We start from the raw sequence: 21,190 nt of genomic DNA on the forward strand, positions 1-21,190 counted from the left end.
CAATTAAAGAGAAGAGAGGAGCAAGTGGGGGCTCAGGCAGTGTAGGCGGGATGGAAGCTCCCTGTGGGCTTGGACTCATGTAGGAGGGCTTCATGGAGGAGGTACATTGTGGTGCAGGAAGGCCCATCTCCATGGGTGTCTACGTCTCCAGGTGATGAGTCAATGTCTTTGCAAACATCAGAAACCCAAGAAGCATGGTGAGCAGGAACACTATGGGTAATCTTAGGAAATTTGTGCACAAGGATGGAGACATTCCAGAAAAAGAAATAAAAGAGGTGCATTCCTGCTGCCATATATGTGCTGAGCCCCATGAAGCAGTGACATATGGGAAAGAAAGGGGAAGAAGGAGGATAGGTATAGAAAAACCCTGCTTGAGATTCCAAAAGTAGATCAATGCAACCCATTTGTTCTTTCATTAATGTAATCATCCTTTATTGAATACCTACTATCCTGGGCAGTGTGCCAAATTGAGAATGCAATTATGCATAAGACATGGTCCCTGTCTTTGATGAATTTAAGATCCTCTGAAGGAAAGAGGTGTAAATGAACACTCACACTAAAAACAAGTGCTTTCATGGTGCTAGGTGCAAAACATCACAAAAACCCAACCACAGGAGCAACCAGCTCTACTGGAAAGACCCAACAGAGTCAGGAACAGATTTATAGAGGAGGAGGAACAATGGAGTTGATTTTTTTTTTTTTTTTTTTTTTTTTTGAGACGGAGTTTCACTCTTGTCGCTCAGGCTGGAGTATAGTGGCGCCATCTGGGCTCACTGTAACCTCTGCCTCCCAGGTTCAAGCAATTCTCCTGCCTCAGCCTCCTGAGTAGCTGGGATTACAGGTGCCCACCACCACTCCAGGCTAAGTTGTTTGTATTTTTAGTAGAGATGGGGTTTCACCATGTTGGGCAGGCTGGTCTCGAACTCTTTACCTCAGGTGATCCACCCGCCTTGGCCTCCCAAAGTGCTGGGATTACAGGCATGAGCCACCGTGCCTGGCCTGGAGTTGATTTTGAACATGACTCAGAATTTACCAGACAGGGTATTCCAGGGAGAGGGACCAGCACGGAAAGGGTGTGAACATGGGATGGTGCCAGGCCAGTGAGAGTGCCACGGATATGGGGCAGCAGGTGAGGAGGCAGGACACAGGTGAGGCCTGACCCCAGAAAGCCTATTGTGCCAGGCTATAGGGAATTTGGGTTTTCTGTTGTCAATGATGGGAAAATCAGTGCAGGTTTCCAGAAGAGGATGTGACAACTCACATTTTGTTCAATTGAGTTAAATAAGCACTTATAGAGTGTCTACCACATGCAGAACACTCACTGAATCGAGTATGGATGATACAAAGAAAAATCTATCCCAAGCCCTCCTGCCTACACTGCCTGAGCCTCATGGGACCCTAAATAAGTTTGGTAAGGAATGAGTGGTGAGAAAGGGTGAGGAGAAACAAGAGCACACATCGTCTTGATACGGGATCTAAATGGGTGCATGGTTCTAGGAGAGGCACAAGGGTTTATGGAGGTAGAGATTCCCAGTGTCCCAGATTTGTTTCTTCACTCTCAGGTCAAAGCAGGCCTTATTTAGGAGGCCCAGTCATTCCTCATTTCCCTTCCTTGGTAATATCACTACGATTCTCTCTCCTCCCACTGGCCAAAGTGTTTGATTAAGCCTGCAGAGAATGATGGGGTTCAGTAAGAATGCCAGCAAAGAGACGGCATAAAAGCCACCCAGAATGGGGCTGACAGCGTGGCCTCTTGATAGTCCCCCATGCTCTGTCCAGGGGGAGGATGCTAGGCTGAGACTCTAGGTGTTCTCGTAGTTTCGATAAAAACTATAATTGACCACCACAAGTACCAGTGGATGTGTGAGGGTGAGGGGAGAGCTGAAGATGAGTAGTTTGTTCTGATTTCAGTTTATTTTGGGCTCTTCTAGCCTCAAGTCTGTGTTCAGCTAAAGATATATGGCTGCATAGGCAAAGGGACCTGTTAGGTGAGCCTGAAGGTGATTCTTGCATAATTCTCAGAAACTCAATCAAGGTCTTCCTGTATCTCCCGCTTCCTCCCCTTTCTCCTGCCTCCAACCTGCACATGTCAGTGCATCCACATGCACACACATTCAAGCAGGACATAAGGCGGCCGGCCGGTCCACTTCAGATCATAACCAAAAGTCTTGGCCCCTCACCACTCACCTGTCAGCCTCAGGCAGCCAGGGACCCAGCATGGGAGGCACACCTCATGAGAACTACCCCAATGCTCAAGTGCCCGCAAATGCCCACAAACCCTTAAATGTGTCTAGGAACCTTTCACCAACTGAAGCCTGACTGCAAGATGAAGGAAGGACCTTTGGAATGTAATAAATGATTTCTAAAAAGACATCTCATCATCCTTTCTTTCATTCTCTCTCCCTCTCTCTCTCTCTCTGTGTGTGTGTGTTTGTGTGTGTGTGTGTGTGTCTGAGTTGCCTCAGGGCTGGTGGTTTCAAAACTAGCAGCTGCAAACTTATGAAGGGAAAAAAAAACCCAAACCACAAAACCCCGTCTTGTGAAAACTGTGTGCCAGTCTAAAAGTGGCAGTCCGTGCAGGAGAAAAAGCCTGTCAACGTTCAGGGCAGAAGCAGGCAGTGTGAGATCACAGCTGGCTCTTGACAGTGAGGAGGAATTCAAATGTGTCCTGGGCATGGGGACAGTAGGGGACAAGGACAAGGCAGAAGAGAAGCCGGAGGGGACTGAGGAGTCCAGATCCTGGCTGGCCAGGGGAGGCCTCTCTGGAATGGCTCCGTGCTTCAGCTGAGCCCTCTGAAAAATTCAGCTTCCCAGATGCAAATCAGACCAGCTGCTACTATCACATTACTGAGTCTTCTTCCAGAACCCCCGAGGTCCGGTCTCCCCTCTCCATCCACTCAGAAGCTTCTGAAGCATGACTGGCAGACATAAATCTCCCCCAACCGCTGGCTCAGCCCCCCTGCCCTCCCCTGAAGCTGACACCCACCCATGCTCCCCTGTGTAGGCTCACCTTTCAGAACACTCCCGATTACACATTAAGACGCTGCCCCAACCCAGCCCCAGACTCCTACTCTATGGCTAGTTTCAACCTACAACTCAATCCAGGGGTGCAGGGGGCTGGGGGTGCAACCGGGAAGCCCAAGGGAAGATCCACTTGGAGAGAATGAGGGTCCTGCCTGGCCCCAAGGCTGGACAGAGGAAATCCTCAGGTGTCATCAAAGATGAAGACTGGAGAAGGAGAGTTCCTGGAGGGACACTAACCAGCCTGGCTATTTCTCCTGCCACCCTCCCACCCCCCTACCCCCACCCCCGCCTAAGCTCCATACCAATGGCCTCTGGCCAGAACAAAGTGGATACTTGAGTCACTTGGCTAGATAGTTGGGCGGTGCCCTCTTTTGTATAGGAAAGGCAGGCCATCCATAGGCCCACAGACAGAGACAGAGGAGGCCAAGCCCCAGAGACCACAGTGGAACAAGTGTCTTGGGGTGCTTTGCCCATAGGTGCAGCTTAATGAAGGACAGCCAGAGGACACGGTTGTAAAAACAGGGCAGCAGAAATCTATGTGAATATTATAAGTATTTGAGGAGAAGCAAAGTTAGTGAAGTGATCAAAACGGAATGGGGTTAATGACAGAACGCTTCAAGGAGGAAGTTAAGTTCTGAAGGAGGGGAGGGACAACGGCTGGGGCAGAGGGGGGAAGAGGAAGTGTGTTCTGCAGGGGAGGGTGCTGTGTCTTTGGGAAGGGCAATACTGATTGCATGGTGGCCCTGGGAGCTGTGCCACTCTTGAAGGTCCTGCCTGGCGTTAATATTTGGATATATTTTCAAAGAGGGAGAATCCTCTTCTGTATTAGTAATAGGCATGTCCGTAGTTGAAAGAATGTAGATTTTGGAAGGAGCACACTTCAGAATCAGATCTGAGTTGAGATCTTAGCTCTGCCACTTATAAGCTGGGTAACCTCCCAAGCCTCACCTTCCTGAACTATAAAATGAGGAAATTATTTCATAAGGCTATGGTGAGAATGAAACGAGATAACTTACGCAAAGTCCTTAGTTCCATACCTGGCAAACAGTAGCTCCTAAATCAATAATGGCTAGTATTATGTATATACTTTATAGCTTATGGATTAGAAAACCAGCGATAGCAAGCCACTTTAAGTCCTCAAGAGGAAGAGTGTAAGGAGTTGGGTGGTCTAGATGCTGATCTCAGCAAGTCAGGCCCTGTTTCAACCTTTCCGTGAGATGCAGGCAGCCAGGACCTGGACAGAGCCCAAGGGCCAGGTCTAGAGTAGTGGTTGCGGAAAGGGCTGATGTATCAGCTTCAAAGGCTGACTTGCTGCAGCCCAAGACCTTGGTACATAGATTTAAGTCCCATCTGATTGAGAAGGAGGTGCATTCAGCCACATGTGTTCATAAACACTTAACAACTGGCTCTCCAGGTTTGTGTAATTTGCACTTATTTCATGATGCCCAGCTTCAAGCTCCCACTGGGCATGCAGTTGAGAAGAGATGCGTGCAACTGGCTCTCAGGAACCTCATGAGCCAGTTCCAGCACACCACTGCATCCAGCCACCCTGTCCCACAACCACAGCCCATCTCAGAGCAAAAGAGGCACCTGTCCTCTATGTCTGACCTAGCTTTGTCTAAGTGGAGAGGTAAGGAGTTAAAGCGGGGAGAAGAGCAGGCATTCCTGCTCTCTTCTCTGTCCCACACCGGCCAGAAGTAAAGCTTCCCTCCCTGACCCACTTCCCCTCAGGCCAGTTCCATACTGACTAGCAAGTTCATTTTCCTCACAAGCTGAAACAAAACAAAACACAAAACGTGGCCCTCTCCCTTGGGCCTTCAGCAGAGTAGCTCCGCTTTAAGAGGAATCACAGGGTGCAGCCCCAAATGCCATGGAGTCTGATAGTGCAGCAGGCCGGGGGCTAACGCTGTCTCCACCCAGCTCACCACGCAGGTGGAGCGGCCAGGACATGGGCATGCCTTGGCCTAGGCAGTGCACTTCCGGATTCCCTTTGGGAGGCAGCAGGGAGGGTCTGGCCTCATCCTTAATGAACTATCTGGCAGAGGCTGTCACAGAACCATGGGACGCCAGAGCCAAAAAGAGCTTAGTAATCACCTGTGTGTCCCTTTGCTGCGCAATGAGGGTGCTGCGGCAGAGGCCGCACCTCTTAGCTGTGTCACCTCTGGAGCTGGACCGCCCTCTCTGGCCTGCTGCTGGTGGTGCTCCTGCGTGTTGACGCTTGGACACTTTTTGAACAACATTTCTTCCATAACTGCAGTGGCCCCTGTGAGTAAAATCTCCCTGAGGCAGGTTCTATGCCTTCTCTTGTCCATTCCCCTTGGGCACCCAGTATGCCCTGAGTGTCCTTGTGACCAGAGCCACTCCTGTTTTGCAGTAAGGGAAGCCAAACAAGGAGCAGAGTCAAGGCAAACGTTCCAGTGCGTTCTGTATTGGGATTCTTCCCTTCAGGCACAGAAATTCTCATTTGCACTCCCCATTTGCCCTGGTGGGCATCCCAGCTGTACCTGAGTATCAGGTAAACCTGCCTTGGCTACATCAAGTCCAGGGATATGATGAACCATCTAGAACTAACCACATTCAATTAGTCCCCTAGCCAAGGGTGGGGTGAAGGAAATGAGAGGAACCTACAACTTTTTGCAACCTCTACTCCAACCGCCAGAGACACACCCTTCTGCCTGATGTTCTTTGACTCAAGGAGTTGAGAACCACTTTGGGTCTACACAGATATGACACAGCTACCCGTGTCTGCCTCGGTTTAGAAAGAGCTGGCTGAGCTCCTGCGTGAATCCTAAAGACAGGACGGTCATTTGAGTTTCAGCTGCAGGGATTCTTCTGCTAGGCACCTCTGCTTTGTAATCGGATGTGTACGAGGGCAACACAAAGGACTCCCAGCCCGGCTCTGCCAAGAGACTTTGTTGTGCTCCATGGTTCAAAGAAAAAAGGTAGGGGGAGAGATTAATGGAGCGAGAGGAGGCAAGCTTATTATATTTATCAACCATGTTCGCATTTCAAGTGCCCTGATTTATCTCACAGGTGGGAGGGAAGAACTGCTGGCAACCCTTCTCTCAGGGCTGTGAGTTTTGGAACAGGATTTCCTCTGCAAGTTGTCAAAGATCAGATAAAAGTCTTAATCTCAGGCACACACAGCCACAGGCTTTGGCCTCTGCCACTGTGTGTTCAGCTTTCAGTGATGAGACTGAACAATGGTTGGCGATGCTTTGCATTTAAAGAGGTGGGAAAAGAAAAGGATCAGAGTGGAGGTATGTGAGGCATATGGCACTGCCCGGGGGAAACACGAGTGCACCAAGCAGGCTCCAGAATGAACTCAGGACTCAGGACAACTGAGGTCCCCTTTTGCTCCCTTTGGTGTCCTTTTACCAGTCGTCATGTACACTAAATCAATGCACATACCTGTCACCCCTTTTTAAAAGGATGGCAACCAGATCATTCACCTCTCCTTCCCCATTCCAAGAGCCCGGTTCTTGAGAACCAGGCTGGAAGAGCATGTCCCAGGTACTGGCTGGTGGGACTGTGGAGATGGGAAGCATTTTGACCTTGTTCTCCAGAATGATTTTTGCTAAAGAGATGCTTATTTTTTCAAAATGCAATTCTATAACTTTAATGCCTTTTCAGAACAGAAGAACTGCACCTTTTAGGCACCATGTTGATTAAGTGGCCCTGTGTTAGGGAGTGCTCTGAGGAAACTATGTTGATCTGGCATTTGACCTTGAAACATTTCTAATATCAGAACACAAAGTTCATTCATGTTGCCAGAGCTAGCCAACTGAGTTAGCAAGGGAAGTTTCAGGAAACAGAAAAGTCGAAAATCTTGAAATCTGGATTCTTTCTGTTCTCAAGTCCCACTCTGATTTGTATATTATCACCACCTTGACTATGCCTACCTTGTATTGTGCATTTGTTAAGTGTGTACTGTGTTAAAAACTTTACTTATATCCTCTCATTCCATCCTCACAACCCTATTTTACAGATGAAAACTGGAATCTCAAAGAGGTTTCCTAATTGGCTGAGGTCACCCAGACTGCGGGTGTAGGCCACACGTTTACGCTCACCTTTGTGGGTCAGCCTCTCAGTAGCTGCGCTGCTCATCCTATTCATTTCTGTGCTTACTCAATAGGGAGAAGAGCTGGGTAAGGAGCAAATCGGTGCTACTAAAGTCAGGCTCAGTATCAAGAACATGCATTCTATTCTAGAATGCTGATAAATACACTGGCAGTCCCAGAAAGTCACTTCCAAAGCAGTAAAGAAGGGCTCTGGAACAGACACATGTTTTCATTTCTTTTTGAAGGCTTCCCTTTGAGAACAAAGGTGGTCTGTGGTGCTGGGCCCTTCAAGCCCTGACACCCACTCCTTTTGTCTCTGCCTCTTGGGATCTTGGGAGAGCTACACCAAGGGCTGCGTGATGGATACACCACGAAGGGGTGTATTTATTTATTTGCCAGGGAAATGTATTAGGGAGAAGCAAAGACTAATTAATGATTTTCAAGGGAAACTCAATCTATGGAATGAATGGTTTTCCCAATGGGCTGTATTTAGAGGCTCACAGAAATCCTGCATGCTTCCATTGCCGTTTCCCATCCTTTCTTAGCCTTTGCTGAATGTGTCCGGAAATCTTTTGCAAAAGAAAAGGCACCAGTCTGTTTGCCTTGAAAATGAAGAAACCAAAAGGTGTAACATCCTTCTTCCTTCTCAGGTGGAGTAGTTAATTTTACAAGTGCTTCGAGAGGTCCTGAGGAAAAGGCACATGCCATCATGTCCTCTCCCCGTGAAAGAAGTTCATAATAATCTGTGCAAAACAGCACCTTTGGATAAGTTCAATGTGGCTATATATAGACGCTTGGCCGTTTCCTGTTGCTCTTGCAGCTTGCACAGGTTTGAAGGTAGGGTGAGGCTGTGACCATAAGCCACACGGTGACATGTACATTAGCCATGCCCTCTGCTTCCTGTGCTGCTTATGACCTGGGCTGGACTAACCCCAGCACTGCTCAGGGGCAGGGAGCCCTTAGGACCTAAATGTGGGGGGGTTGGTGAGTTTGCTCTCATCTTCTCTGAGCACAGGTTGCCTGGCTGCAGATAGATGGTGCAAAACACACCAGCGAGCCAGTGTGCTTGTCTAACGGTCTGCTCGTGTAACTTTTGCACCACAAAACAAGAGGTCAAGTATGAAAGGGTGGTTAACAAATTGAGCAGCCCTTTTTTTTTTCTGTTAAAGGGGCCGTGTCAGAAAAAACAAACAAAAAACAAAAACAAAACAAAAAACAAAAATAAAACAAAAAACAAACAAAAAAACCCTTCCTGAGTGAACTTGCATGAAAAATCATTTGGCAAAACCCAAAGTTCATAGCCATGTGCTGAAAAGCCATCATGCTAGAAACGGTCATCGTGATTTGACCTCAGAACCGTCTCCTATTTTAAGATTTCAAAATGCTTAAGTAGATGGGGCGCAGCGGCTCAGGCCTGTAATCCAGCACTTTGGGAGGCGGAGGCGGGCAAATCACTTGAGGTCAGGAGTTCGAGATCAGCCTGGCCAACATGGCAAAACCTTGTCTCTAATAAAAATACAAAAATTAGCTTAGTGTGGTGGCACACGCCTGTAATTCCAGCCACTTCGGAGGCTGAGGCAGGAGAATCACTTCGAACCGGGAGGCGGAGGTTGCAGTGAGCCGAGATCGTGCCACTGTGCTCCAGGCTGGTGGACAGAGCGAGACTCCATCTCAAAAAAAAAAAGAAAAGAAAAGAAAAGAAACAAAAATTGCTTAACTAGACATGTCATGCAATTTTGGAGAAGAGATGAGTGGTAAATGTGACTCCAGCTTTACTAAACAGTGAAATAAATTAAGGCACCAAAGCATGCTGAGCCTTGTCTAAAATCCTATAGCAGAAGAGGCCAGAAAAAAATTCACTGGTTCCCTTCTTTCTCCATCCATTCAGCCAATCAGTACCAGATTATTCTCCAGCTATCTTCCCCCCTTCTCATCTAGGACATCTAAGGTAGAACCGTGCATCTTAAAAAAGCTTTTCAGGAAATTCTGATGGGCAGACAGAACCAACGTGAGTCTATGTCATTTTGACTCTCATGTTCTATATGGGCTGCTAAATAAAAACTTTGAAAGTCTTTCATGTGACAAATAGTTTTGGAGTGCATACTCTGCCAGGCATTGTGCTAAGTCCTTGGGGACACAGGTGAACAAAACAGAGGAAGACCCTGCCTCCATTGAGTGTAGTCCAATGGGAGAGCGACACAAATCACACTTTTGCATAGGTGAATATCTAATTATACATGTGGTAGGTATTATGAAGAAAAACTAGAGTGCTCTGAGAAAGACGTTAAGGCCGGATAGATACAAGCCTGGGATTGGAGAAGTCAAGGAAAGCCCCACTTTTTTACATGACATTTACACAAAAATGATTAAGATGAGAGGAATATGCTTCGTTGCTTCCAACACATAACCAAAGCAAGTTATGATTCTAAAAAACCAACTAGTTACCAAAAAAGAAAGAAAAAAGTAAATGATCTCTTGGGCTTGACATGCCCTTGTTTTGCCCAGAGAAGCACACTTCCTTTTACAATTGTTTGGGAGGTTTGTGGCAGAGAAAGAGAGGAAAAATCAGATCTAGAGAAGTAGAGTCCTTCAGCGACTTGCAATAGTGGCTCTTACTAAAGCATCTCATTGCTTCTCAAATGTGTCCAAGGGATGCTCAAAGCTGCTTTCTCAAAACAGGATTCTGTGTTCAACTGAGTGTGGGAAATTCAAAGGAACTTAAACAAGTCTCTTTGCATCAGGACTTATCAGAGCCTTGAATATACTAATGGAGATCCTGAAGCTCCAAGGGAAAGGGCCGCACAATGCAGTCTGCAGCGTTTTCCAATCAAATTTGATTGCAAGAGGTTTTTTTTTTTCACTGAGTACCTAACTCAGTGGCTCTGAAACTTACATCTGCACAAAATTCCCTTGGGGAGTGTAAAGAATGCTGATTCCTCGGCTCCAGCTCCAGAGATTCTAATTCACTGGATCTGGAATGGTCCCGGGAATCTTCATTTTTAACAACACTTCAAGTGATTTTGAGGCAGCAAGTCCAGGATCCACACTAGGAGAAAAACTAGTAGGATTAGTGTCCTGCTGGTGTCCCGGAAGCATCTCAGTAGCTCTACACACTCCGCCATTCAAGCTTTCTCAGCTTCCCCTCACTCTTTAGAACCTGGCTGATGCTGAGTGAACACGGTCAAGTTAGTGGGCCAGAGTAGATAAAAATAATGGAAACATGCAAAGTGAGTCACAGACAGCAAATCCAACCATTGCCTAGAATTTGTTGGGTGTCACAGGTCAAGCTACAAAGATCACATTCGCCATTTGGACTCAGTTGGCAGGAATGTTATGCATGTGTGATATAAGATGCTGTGCGCTGAAAGTCCCTGAAGCTGTGCAAATACTGGATCCAGCAGAAGTTTTCTCTGTTGTGCCCATCTGCCTTTGTCTAATTAGCCAAGGGTCACTTTGGCTGCCTCCCTTCCTTTCACATGGAGCAAAGGTACCCAGAGAGGCACATGTTGATGCATTCATATGCAAAGAAGTTCTTGTCTTTCTCTCTCTCAAGTCATTGTTCAGTGAGGAGTCAGCTCCCACATGCTCCTCCTATCTGGGCTGCAATCAGCACAGTGAGGAGAGGAGCGACAGAGCACATGATTATGACCGGGGCTTGCTGCTGAGCTGCAGGGGTTCAGAGTACTGCTACCTGTGCAATGGCAGCTTCCCCAGAGCGCCCAGGGGCTCCGAGGCCACAGACAGAAAATATCTTTGCTACCACGTGCTGAAAAATATCCCCAAAACCATTTGCCAAAGATTTGACTTGGTTAAAAGCGAGGTGGAGAGGGGTGGTTAAACAGGGGAAGCTATAGAAAGGAAAATGCGAGAAAAAGATGTTTTGCATATTAAACAGCCCTGCTTTGTCCTCCAATTCAGCCAAAACGTTTGGAGGAGGCTGCGCTGTCCACGTCCACAGTGCTCTGAACGTGCCTCATCTGATCTTGGAAGCTAAGCAGGATCGAGCTGAGTACTCAGATGGAAGAAGGCTATTCTCGTGCGTGTGCAGAGACCAAGATCATAGGGAAAAGCATGTCTAAGGTTGGGTTTTGTGTACAAATATTGTATAGGAACATAATTCAACCTGTTTAAAACAGGAGGATGATTGTGGCTGAAACCACGGTGGGAGGAAGGAACATGTTACATTTCTTCAAAGATAACTGCAGATCGAATGCCTTCATCCTTGTGACCCGCGCTGCCTGCACTGTGGTGTGTTTTGCTTGGTTTGCACCAATGCCCTGGCTGGCGGTCACTTGCTCTTGGTGGCCAGTTTCATTTCCTGGTTTTGAGAAAATGTCAGGGAGGCCTGTTGCTTGGGCATACTGTCACTGAGGGAAGTGTGCAGTTTTAAAATGTCAAAGCCAGCAGGCTCATGTCCAGTGCATGCCATCAATCAGCAAATGTCCCTGGACCCCTAATGAGCCCACTGAAAGTTCAAACGGTAAATAACGAACAGATAAAGATCTTGCCCTAAAATCGCCTACCATCTAACCAAAGGGGCAAGATCAAAAGGGAAAGAAAAATAGTATCAATATGGAAAAATAAATGTACTAATTGCTGTAGTGTTTGTGGGCAAAGAATGCAGCTGAGAAAGTGCAGCCTCGTGGAAAGGGCCCCACGGAAGGGAGTCCAGAGGGTTGGCCTCACACTCTTCCCCTTCCCGCTTTATGACCACGAACGTAGTCCTTCAGAACCTTTGTTTCTTCATCAGCAAAGTGGGGGAGGGGAATAATCCTGCCTTCTTCTCCAGTTTATTAGAGTAATTAAATAAGATTATAGATGTGGGAAGGCTCCTATTAAGATCAATGTCTTAAACTATAAAATAATCTACAATTTTCCTTGTCATTATTATTACTGATAACAACAAAATGAGGGGAAATAAGTCTAGAAAATGCATCATCTGCCTGTTCCATTAAAAAGAGACAGAGGCAGAGATGGAGCTGGACACAAGAATTCAACCAGCCTAGGACTTTGTTCTGGCACCTCAGTGTATATTTAAAGTCCTGTATAATAACATAGAAGTAATCATGGTTATCGCTTATTTGTATTGATGGATTTAAGGTGGGCTTTTTATTTCTAAGGTTTGGATACATCTAAGAAAATAGCATACTTCCTAAGATACCATTTGATTTTAATTTTCAGAGAGCTGATCACCAATTTGGGAGAACTTTGTGACTGTATGTTTGGTATAATTCCTTTAGAGATCAATTTGATGATGGAGAAATAATCCTCACATTATCCACATTATCAGATGTCTAGATAAGATAGGAAAGGTAACTTTATCACAGCTGTGTGACCCATGATGGCCTAGGTAGCTGAGTGAACCAGAAGTCTGAACTTGGAAACTAAGTTGTAAAGTTCTTATGAACTTCCTAGGGCTTCCTGAGCCTCCCCCCACCTTTAGATGCCAAGTCTCTTTGCAAATTCATATCATTCCTGCAAACAGAAAATAGTATTTAGAATAATAAGATGTTTTTCAAATTTTCCTTCAAGGGTCCTATGAGCTGGCCTGATAAATTGTTTAACTTTGAAGGGAATTTTGAACAAATAGGACAAGACAATCGAAACACGTATCTAGAATTAGGACATGGTTGATCCCGAAGTTCTTAAATACTGAAACCTCCTTGTGGTATGCAGAGGCCAAATTGATCATCTTTAGGCAGAGATTCCTTAGACATGATCGATGAGGCTATCCATCTAGCGTAACACTGAGACTTTCTTGTGTAAACCCCTCACACCCACTAAACAGGAAATGCAAGCTACTAGAGCTGAACATTCAACCACCCCCTAAGTCCCCACCCTCCACCCCCGCCCAGCATAAGAACATTATTCTTTGCTTTCCTTTCCGAAGAGCTGTAGGCATTCATTCATATATGCAGAGCAATCAGACATCATTAGACAAAGAACACCTGATAATAATTCTCACATTTTGGAATCTTAAGAAACTTCCAATGAAAGGGGTGATACGAGTTGGTAAGCCACAGCTTTTGGCGGTAGCATGAGCCCTCTGGCTTCTGAAACCCTAGAGGCCACAGATAAGATACACTCTTGTAGCAGGCTTGTCATACTTGAAATTCTAACTGGTAGCTTGATATCCTGAGTTGCTTTCTCACTTGAGCAACTTTGGTTGAGAATGTAGGAACCTGGAAAGATTTCTTGAGACATGCTCATTTTAGACACACCCAGAAACATGCCAGGTACAGATGACAATTTCCACTATAGGTAAAACATCTCAAAACAGAAGCCTAAGCTGACAGTGGACCAATAACTGCATTGTTTATTGGTTTCCCAAGGCAAATGTTCAGCAAATTCTGTATATATAATCAACAGAAAATTTTGTTCAGATTCTAGAAAAGATAGCTGCTGTTTTGTATATGTGTGTACTTTCTGCTATAGTAGTATTTGCATAAGTTAAATATTTTCAGTGCAATTTTTATTAGTTTTCAAAATGCACTTTTGTGGGTATCTGTGTGTATGCAGGTGTGTGGGGAGAACCATGAACAAGACAAAGACCCCTTGTCACTGAGGGCAGAGCCTGACTCAGCATCCCAATACAGCCCCTGGTTTGCATTCTTCCCAAAGGAGGCACATTCTAACAAACAAACAACCATGCCAAGCCTCCGACCACAAACCCAACCAAACATTTTCAAAAAGATGTATATATTTCTGTGAAAGAATATGGATATCTTTCAGTGCTCAAGAGGCAGTATTCTGCAGTAGATCTAACTCAAGTGGATAGGGACTTCGGAAAGCCCTTTTTCAAACTGAGTTTGTTGAATCCAGCTAGCTACATGGAAGGGATGGCAGGGCTCAGTGGGAGCAGGACACAGTAGGGGAGGCCAGGGTGCAAGCTCATCCACTCCCTCATCTGTAAAATGGGTTAGTTCCCTGACCACCTCACCACACTATTGTCAGGCCTCCTTCACTGGGAGCTGAAAAAGACAAACGCTGAAGCAGAAAGGAGGGTTTTTACAAACAAGGCTTGAATGATAGACACATATGGGGCATGCGTCTCCCATCACAGCCCCCACCACACCGGAACACGAGCTCTGTTCAACATGGTCCTCCTCTCTAATGTCTATGAGTTCTAGAACTTGAACAAATCTTTGTCAAGAATGTAGTCCAGCTCTGTCTCCAAACCATGAACTCATCTGTGAACAAGACATTTCTATTTTCCTTTATCTTTAAAAATTTATTTTAAATGAAATAAATGATGCATGAATGTATTCTGTAGAAAATTTAAATAGAGATCGAGGAAAAGCCCTCTTGCCTCAGGGTACCCCATAATCTCACTTCCCATCCTAGAAATGGCCATCCAGGGCTTATTGAGGTACCTAAGATAGCTTATGTGAATGATGTCACTTTTAGCCTTAGGAAATGTTCTTTTGGGCTCAGTTCCAGTTACTTTTGTTGTGAGGTTCTTGTGGAAGGTTCACTTTCTATCTACCTGCAGACAAATGCTCGGAGCTTATGATATATAACATCAAGGGCTTGCTTGGCTGTCAGAAGTAGGATTGCTTAATCAAAACCTGTGTGGAAATAGCCTGTTATCTCTATGGACTTAAATGGTCATCAGCAGTTCCCCAAATTCAAGACTCCCATGACAATACCATTGAGTTCTGAAGCTGGAAGGGATCAACAAGACGAGGTTCTACCATTGTTTGAGCCTTAACAAGTCATGGCAAGGTTTTACCTTAATATTGTCATTATTACAGTATAATTTTAGAAGAATGAGTTTATAGGGGAGCAAACATTCTCCATGCTCCCCTTAACGTCACCCTGCTCTCCTGACTTAAGTGCCATCCGCCTTATTTTATAGAAGAAAATACTGAAACTCAAGACCCGCTACCTGGGCAGGGGAGGAGCAGAGACCAGAACCCTGGACCTCTGGCTCCATGCTGTTTCTACTCTACACTCCATCTTCCACATCTGCTTTTTGCTAATATCCCATAGCTAAGAAATAAGATATAAACAATGCCTTGAAATACAAGACAACCAAGGCCTCACCTTTCTCTCATTACTCAAATGATGCAAAGCCCGAAGCCCTCTCCACCTGACTTCATCCACTACCGCCTGAGCTCTCCAAATGCTTCCAGGTGGGACACCCAAGTTCAAGGCCCCTTTGATTCCTGGTTATCTTCTAGCTGCTGAGCCTCTGCATTGTATAGCGTGAACAGAGCCCAGCTTTGCAGCCAGAAAGATCTGGCTTTTACTCCTGGCACCCCACTTCAAGCTGTGTGACATTGGACAAATCACATATCCTAGCTCAGGCGCAGTTTCTTTACCTGTGAACCGTCTGTCCCACCTACCTTAAAGAGTTGCCATGAGGGCCAGACAATGCAATGACTAAGAGCGCTTTGGAAAGGAGAATGCTGGATGCAGGTGTCGTCGTTATTAGTGTCCAGCCCATCCTTTTTATGTGCAGCTCTGTGAAGACATCTTCCCTTGATGTCAGAACCAAAAAACCCAAGCAAAGCAAAGACCCAGGGCTACATTTCTGCTCTGGAGTCTCTTGTATGACAGTATCTATGTTGGGCTTTTCAGTGTGTAAACCGAAACAAAACAAAACAAAAAAGAAGAAAAATCAGCAGCAAATACTGCTTGGTTTTGCATTTTCCCTTCTGTTTTCTGATTAGAGTCTCTATGGCTTATGAGTGCAGAGAGAACCTCAAAAGATCATGTTTGCTGCGGATAAGCACCAAACTCGATGTTTATCAGCACTTATCTCCTGCAAACTCACTCTCTGGAGGCTTCAAAGGCTGAGGGAGATCTCTTAGCCTTGCTCTGAGGAGACAGGCAGGCACTCCTCCCCGGGGCTTCAGCTGCAGGTGTGGCCCAATAGCACTTGCTCCATTCTTAGGAACGTGGTTCTCTTGCTCTTCCCCATGCAAAAAAAGGAAGCAGCAGGTTTACTGAAGGTATGGGGATGAGCTGTGGGGTAGAGGGAGCAGGAGAAGAAAACAAGTATTTTAAAACAAGCCCGGAAAGGCTGAGAAAGTAGGTAGAGAGGGAAAGGGAAAGGCACACTCCTTACGCTCCTGCTGCCCCCACCCCTCAACCCCCCTGCCCCACCCATCTCAGTCTTTAATCTGCCAAACAAGCCCGTGAGCCTTCAAAAGGCATTTTAATTCACTTCATCTGCTCCCAGCTCACCTTCCCTACCTCCTTTGGGTCTGCCCACTACTCTCCATTCCCAAGGATTGTTGGCTGAGAGTGGGACAGTGGGAGGGAGGGAGGCAGTGGTGTGGGCAGGGGGAGCCAGCATTTTATTAGGCTGTTGAATTTGATTTATTAGGGGGGAAAAATCCTTCGCTTGCTTGCCACACAGGTTATTCTCAAAGTGAAAACTCTATTTTACTTCGAAAAAAAAATGGTGAAAGTGCCTACAGTTATGAATGGAGCTCTTTGTTACCTTCCAGATCGACAAGACAGACTGTTTGGTTCATGTCTGTGCACCAGCAAAGGAGTGTGGGGGCCTGGGAGACAGATGTGGCCTTAATTGCATGGAAATATTAGAAGATCGTTAAGGCATTTTGACAGGATTTTCCTCTAGCTGTGGGAGCAAAGGGCCACGTCTGAGCCGCATCAGGCCTGGCCAGAGCCACTGGCAAGGTCTCTCATCCCCACGTGTGAGGGACACATGGGCCTTGGTTCACGTGCCCTAATATTGGTAGGGAATAGATGTCTCCTTGTCACCAACTTCCACCCCACATCTCTGCCCCATAAGCGCAGAAAGCAATCTCCCAAGAAACCCTAAGGCCTGTAGCGGGAGTTGGAAGAGAAGCTACCTAGTGAAATAAATATTTGGGAATGTATACGCACAAGTACATGGACAGAGAGAGATCAGACCATCTCCAACCTGAAAGGTGCACTCCATAAGGCTCTCCAGGGACCCACACGGGCCTGAAAGAGGAAATGTTGTCACGACAAATTATGGTGTCTAAAGACAAAACCTTTTCTATCTATTCACTTCTTCCCTTTCAAAGTAACATTTGGTTACAGAAGTCATGACCCATGAGAGTCCTGTAATTAAGTCAGAGAAATCCTTAAACACTGTTGGCTCGCCAAAGAACGAGACCCCATAAATATGGTCAACCTTGTTTCTCCTAGGCTGGCCTAATCATGGTTCCAACATACTTTTAGCTCCCCACTTTTTCCCCCACTTGCCCTGGTTCATTTTCTGCATGCTCAGAGAATGCAAATATTTTCACATTAGCTTAAATTAAAAATAAGTAGGAGGGTTAGTCTGCTGGGAGGGAGGGAGAAGCCCCGCCCAAACTACAGTTCAGTAATCCCTTTGGGTTATGACAGCAATGTTTTAGATCAGCTCTTCCTCACTTAGATCAGACAATGTTGGCAGTCAGACCAGGAGTAGATTAGTATTATAGGGTCCTCCCTTCAGAGGGGTACACCCCTACAGCTCAGAGGCCACTTCTTAGAGTTGGGGTGGTAGGTGGTTGCTTAGATGATGTTTGGGCCTCAGCCTGGTGCTAATGGGGATGGGGACTAGGTGAACAGAAAGGAAGGCTGGTGGAGAGATGAGGAAGGAGAGAAGGTGCAGCCACAGAGATCCCGTTCTCATGCCAACGTTGTTGTTAACCCAGAGGGAAAAAGGGAAGAGCTCCCAGGCACGTTGGCACGCCAGCATCCCCAGGCTGGGTTTGACATTTAAGGAGCACCAGCAATGAGTTAAGGGGCTAAAGGCCCACAGTCTGCAAGCTCTGGTTTAAAATACAGTCACTCAGCCAGGCATGGTGGCTCATGCTTATAATCCCAGCACTTTGGGAGGCTGAGGCGGGCGGATCACTTGAGGTCAGGAGTTGGAGACCAGGCTGGCAAACATAACGAAACCCTGTCTCTACTAAAATACAAAAATTAGCCAGGTGTGGTCATGGGCGCCTGTAATCCCATCTACTCGGGAGGCTGAGGCAGGAGAATCGCTTGAACCCGGGAGGCAGAGGTTCCATTGAGCTGAGATCGTGCCAGTGCACTCCAGCCTGGGCAGCAGAGTGAGACTCCGTCTCAAAAGTAATAAATAAATAAATAAAATAAGACACAGTCATTCTGCCTACGGTGACTCTTCAGGCCAGAGCCCCCAGCCAGTCCGGATGCAGGGGCAACTTACTGTGGACTCTCTCTCCCGCCTTTCCAGAGGACTCCAGATCTAATGGGTGTTTCAGGACCCTGCAGTGAGAGCCACAACAATGGAGAAAGTGCCACAGTCAAGCCTTTGTGTCCCCTTCTCCTTCTTGCTGTGTGATCTGCAGAGGAGGGGATAAAAGGCTCATCTGAGGTCCTGGCTGGCTCTCTGTGACCAGAAAGTCCCTGAGCCAATGAAGTGTTAATGCCTTTGCCCCTCCCCCCGATTCCTGCTCAGTTCACGGCTTTCCTGTCCTCTGAAATCCCTTCCTTGGTAGCCAGTTGCACCACCTCTTTACTTCAAGTTCTGCCACCTTCTCCTGAGGCAATGGCTCCCTTGCTTGGTTGGTTTCTGGGATGCTGAGTGGGGGAGGCTGGGGAAGCTTGTGCCTGGACTGTCTCGGGAGCTCCCAGTGACGGTGACAATGCACTGCTTCCATTTGTAAATGCCATGTGCTTTCCAGAATGCTTTTGAGGACCTTATTGTTATTTCATCTAAGCTTCAAACATAGCATCGTTCCTACCATATTTAATTCAGACTCTTTTCTCCTTTCCTGTCGTCACTTCCCCATCTGTGTGCACAGCCTGTGTTTACACAGCAGGTTTGCCGCAGCTACTCACTTGTCCAGGGTTACCATGCATATTCCCATAATAATCTGCGTTTCACCCATTTAGCTCACTGTAGAAACTTAGCCAGTTCCATGGAGGAAAAGTCCCACAATTCTCCTAATCTCATAGTCATCAACAACGCCATTAAAATGATGGCATCATTTTTCCATAGACATATTCCTGGCTTTTATCAACAGTGCCCAGCACATAGAAGATATCCAATAAATATTTGCTAAATTAATGAATGCATCAGTGAATGAGTGTTCTTTTGTGTGACAAATCTGTTTTATGGCCCCATTGTGAGACAAGACATGTTAAAGAAATATCCAGAGTGACCTTTGCATGTTTCGAGGAGCACATAGTCTGGTCACCAAACACAAGTGTCCACAGCCTGTGCTCTCCAAGATGGTAACCACTCATAACATGTGGCTTTTTAAATTCAAATGAACTAAAGTTGACTAAAATTAAAAATTCAGTTCCTCAGTCACACCAGACACATTTCAAGTCCTCAATAGCCTCACAAGGCGAGTTGCTTCTGCATTGCATGGTGCAGATTTTAGAACAGTGCCAGCGTCACAGTCATCTCCCCTGGACCAAATCAGAGAATTCAACTTCTTTCTATGGAAATGAATAAGAAGTTTAGGTAAAGGTTTTTGTTTCTTGATCCTGATTTTATTTTAAGATTGATGCTGACGAGTATGCATTTGTTGGTTTTACGTGGAATCGTCAGCACATTTTACAGGCCATTCAGGCTGATGTTATACCTGAGAGCATTTCTGGTTCATGATTAAAAGAAGCAAGAGGACCACAAGGTTCCCCATGGACATTTTGCTCTCACAGTTTCCCAAGAGAGAAAGGTTTGAGAAGGTTGGCTTCACTGGCTTCATTGACTTTGGGTTTCTCATGAACATCACCAACCTATAATGAACATGGGAGATCTCAATCACACAGAAAACCAGGTGGAAGTAGCAGTGCGAGAACTGGGAGCCATCTGGACATGGTGGCTCATGCCCGTAATCCTATCACTTTGGGAGGCCAAGGCAAGAGGACCACCTGAAGCAAGGAGTTCAAGACCAGCCTAGGCAACATAGTAAGACCCTGTCTCTACAAAAAATAAAGAATAAAAAAATAAATTAGCTGGCATGGTGGTGTGTGCCTGTAGTCTCAGCTACTTGGTACTTAGGAGGCTGAGGTAGGAGGATTCCTTGGGCCCAAAAGTTTGAGGCTGCAGTGAGCCGTGATCATGCCACTGCACTTCAGCCTGGGCAACATGGCAAGACCATGTCTCTAAAAAAAAAAAAAAAAAAAAAGAACTTGACCACTTGGCAGGCTTTGACAATGGATCCTGAGGAAAATGGAACTGAACGGGACAAAGGAGCTCAGAAATTTTTGAGGCGGTTTGGGACATCTCAGGGCATGTCCACCTGGTAGGTTAATTATCCATTTCCCACAAGTTTTTATAATGTGGAGATTGAGCCTCCCTGCCCTGAAGACACATGTCCTTGAGACAGACAGACAGGCATGGCTCTGTTGGGCAAGGTTGGCACCTCCAGAAGCTTCCAAGAATAGAACACTAACTGTCCCTTATGGAGTAACTAAACCAGTCCCAAGCCCCCAGGAACTGTCCGTGGGTTTTAGCTGGGTTTTCTGCTCAGCTAGCTTTACTGAGCTTGACAAAGAAAACATCTCCAGGTAAACCCAATGAAATGTTTTCTTTGGAGGACCACAGCAGGACTTGTTCACAAAATATCTACTTTTCCTGTAGATGGATGCCGGGAGACAGGAGACCCCTGTGCTGGACTGTCCAGGCTTAGCACTCCAGTCAAGCAGGATGTAGGCCAGCCCTGTCAGTGACTGTCTCCAGGGTAGCTGCCAATGGAGGGACCAGCTGTGCACCAGAGAGGGAGTCTGAGCTCTGTGATGAGAGGATGCTTGGCTCCTCGTGTAGAGACCAGGCTGTCCTCAGTTCCCCTGATTCCCTTTAGAAGGGAGAGCAAAGATGACAATCAATGGGGCCATGAAGCTCATGAACACTGAGTTATCTGAGCTTACTCGTAGACAGAGTGGCCATATAATGCATCAACAAAAGTGGGATAATTTTGAGCGGGATAAGCATTTCCTGGAACAACAGCATAAAGCGGAACTGTTCCAGGTAAAGGGGCTGTAGAATCACTCCACTAATAGATTTTAGGGTTGAAGACCTGGAAGGGATCTTACGGATCATGTAGCTCAGTCCTTTTATGTAGTAGGTAAAGAAATAAGCCCAGAGAGATAAAGTGCCTTTTCTGTACTATAATTTGTGAATTATAATAAGATGA

At 46.2% G+C, this 21,190-nt stretch overlaps 1 protein-coding gene across 9 annotated transcripts in view, besides 8 other annotated features; it reads left to right on the forward strand.

Moving 5' to 3' along the window:
• The window catches only part of FLI1 (Fli-1 proto-oncogene, ETS transcription factor), a 128,136-nt gene that overhangs the window by 38,113 nt on the left and 68,833 nt on the right, over positions 1–21,190 (forward strand). The window lies entirely within an intron of this gene.
• Positions 2,486–2,565: an enhancer, noted in NCBI's record as "active region_5735". NCBI's record gives its function as "activates an Ori minimal core promoter by ATAC-STARR-seq in GM12878 lymphoblastoid cells {active_cell/tissue: GM12878}" and the evidence as "EXISTENCE:reporter gene assay evidence [ECO:0000049][PMID:35858748]".
• Positions 2,606–2,775: an enhancer, noted in NCBI's record as "active region_5736". NCBI's record gives its function as "activates an Ori minimal core promoter by ATAC-STARR-seq in GM12878 lymphoblastoid cells {active_cell/tissue: GM12878}" and the evidence as "EXISTENCE:reporter gene assay evidence [ECO:0000049][PMID:35858748]".
• Positions 3,022–3,521: an enhancer, noted in NCBI's record as "H3K4me1 hESC enhancer chr11:128596161-128596660 (GRCh37/hg19 assembly coordinates)". NCBI's record gives its function as "activates a minimal SCP1, AML or CMV promoter by ChIP-STARR-seq in naive H9 embryonic stem cells {active_cell/tissue: H9 hESC(naive)}" and the evidence as "EXISTENCE:reporter gene assay evidence [ECO:0000049][PMID:30033119]".
• Positions 3,546–3,645: an enhancer, noted in NCBI's record as "active region_5737". NCBI's record gives its function as "activates an Ori minimal core promoter by ATAC-STARR-seq in GM12878 lymphoblastoid cells {active_cell/tissue: GM12878}" and the evidence as "EXISTENCE:reporter gene assay evidence [ECO:0000049][PMID:35858748]".
• Positions 3,666–3,725: an enhancer, noted in NCBI's record as "active region_5738". NCBI's record gives its function as "activates an Ori minimal core promoter by ATAC-STARR-seq in GM12878 lymphoblastoid cells {active_cell/tissue: GM12878}" and the evidence as "EXISTENCE:reporter gene assay evidence [ECO:0000049][PMID:35858748]".
• Positions 10,762–11,051: an enhancer, noted in NCBI's record as "active region_5739". NCBI's record gives its function as "activates an Ori minimal core promoter by ATAC-STARR-seq in GM12878 lymphoblastoid cells {active_cell/tissue: GM12878}" and the evidence as "EXISTENCE:reporter gene assay evidence [ECO:0000049][PMID:35858748]".
• Positions 10,762–11,350: a biological region, named in NCBI's record as "OCT4-NANOG-H3K27ac-H3K4me1 hESC enhancer GRCh37_chr11:128603944-128604489".
• Positions 10,805–11,350: an enhancer, noted in NCBI's record as "OCT4-NANOG-H3K27ac-H3K4me1 hESC enhancer chr11:128603944-128604489 (GRCh37/hg19 assembly coordinates)". NCBI's record gives its function as "activates a minimal SCP1, AML or CMV promoter by ChIP-STARR-seq in naive H9 embryonic stem cells {active_cell/tissue: H9 hESC(naive)}" and the evidence as "EXISTENCE:reporter gene assay evidence [ECO:0000049][PMID:30033119]".

Source organism: Homo sapiens, chromosome 11, assembly GCF_000001405.40.
Source record: "Homo sapiens chromosome 11, GRCh38.p14 Primary Assembly".
Lineage (NCBI taxonomy): Eukaryota > Metazoa > Chordata > Mammalia > Primates > Hominidae > Homo > Homo sapiens.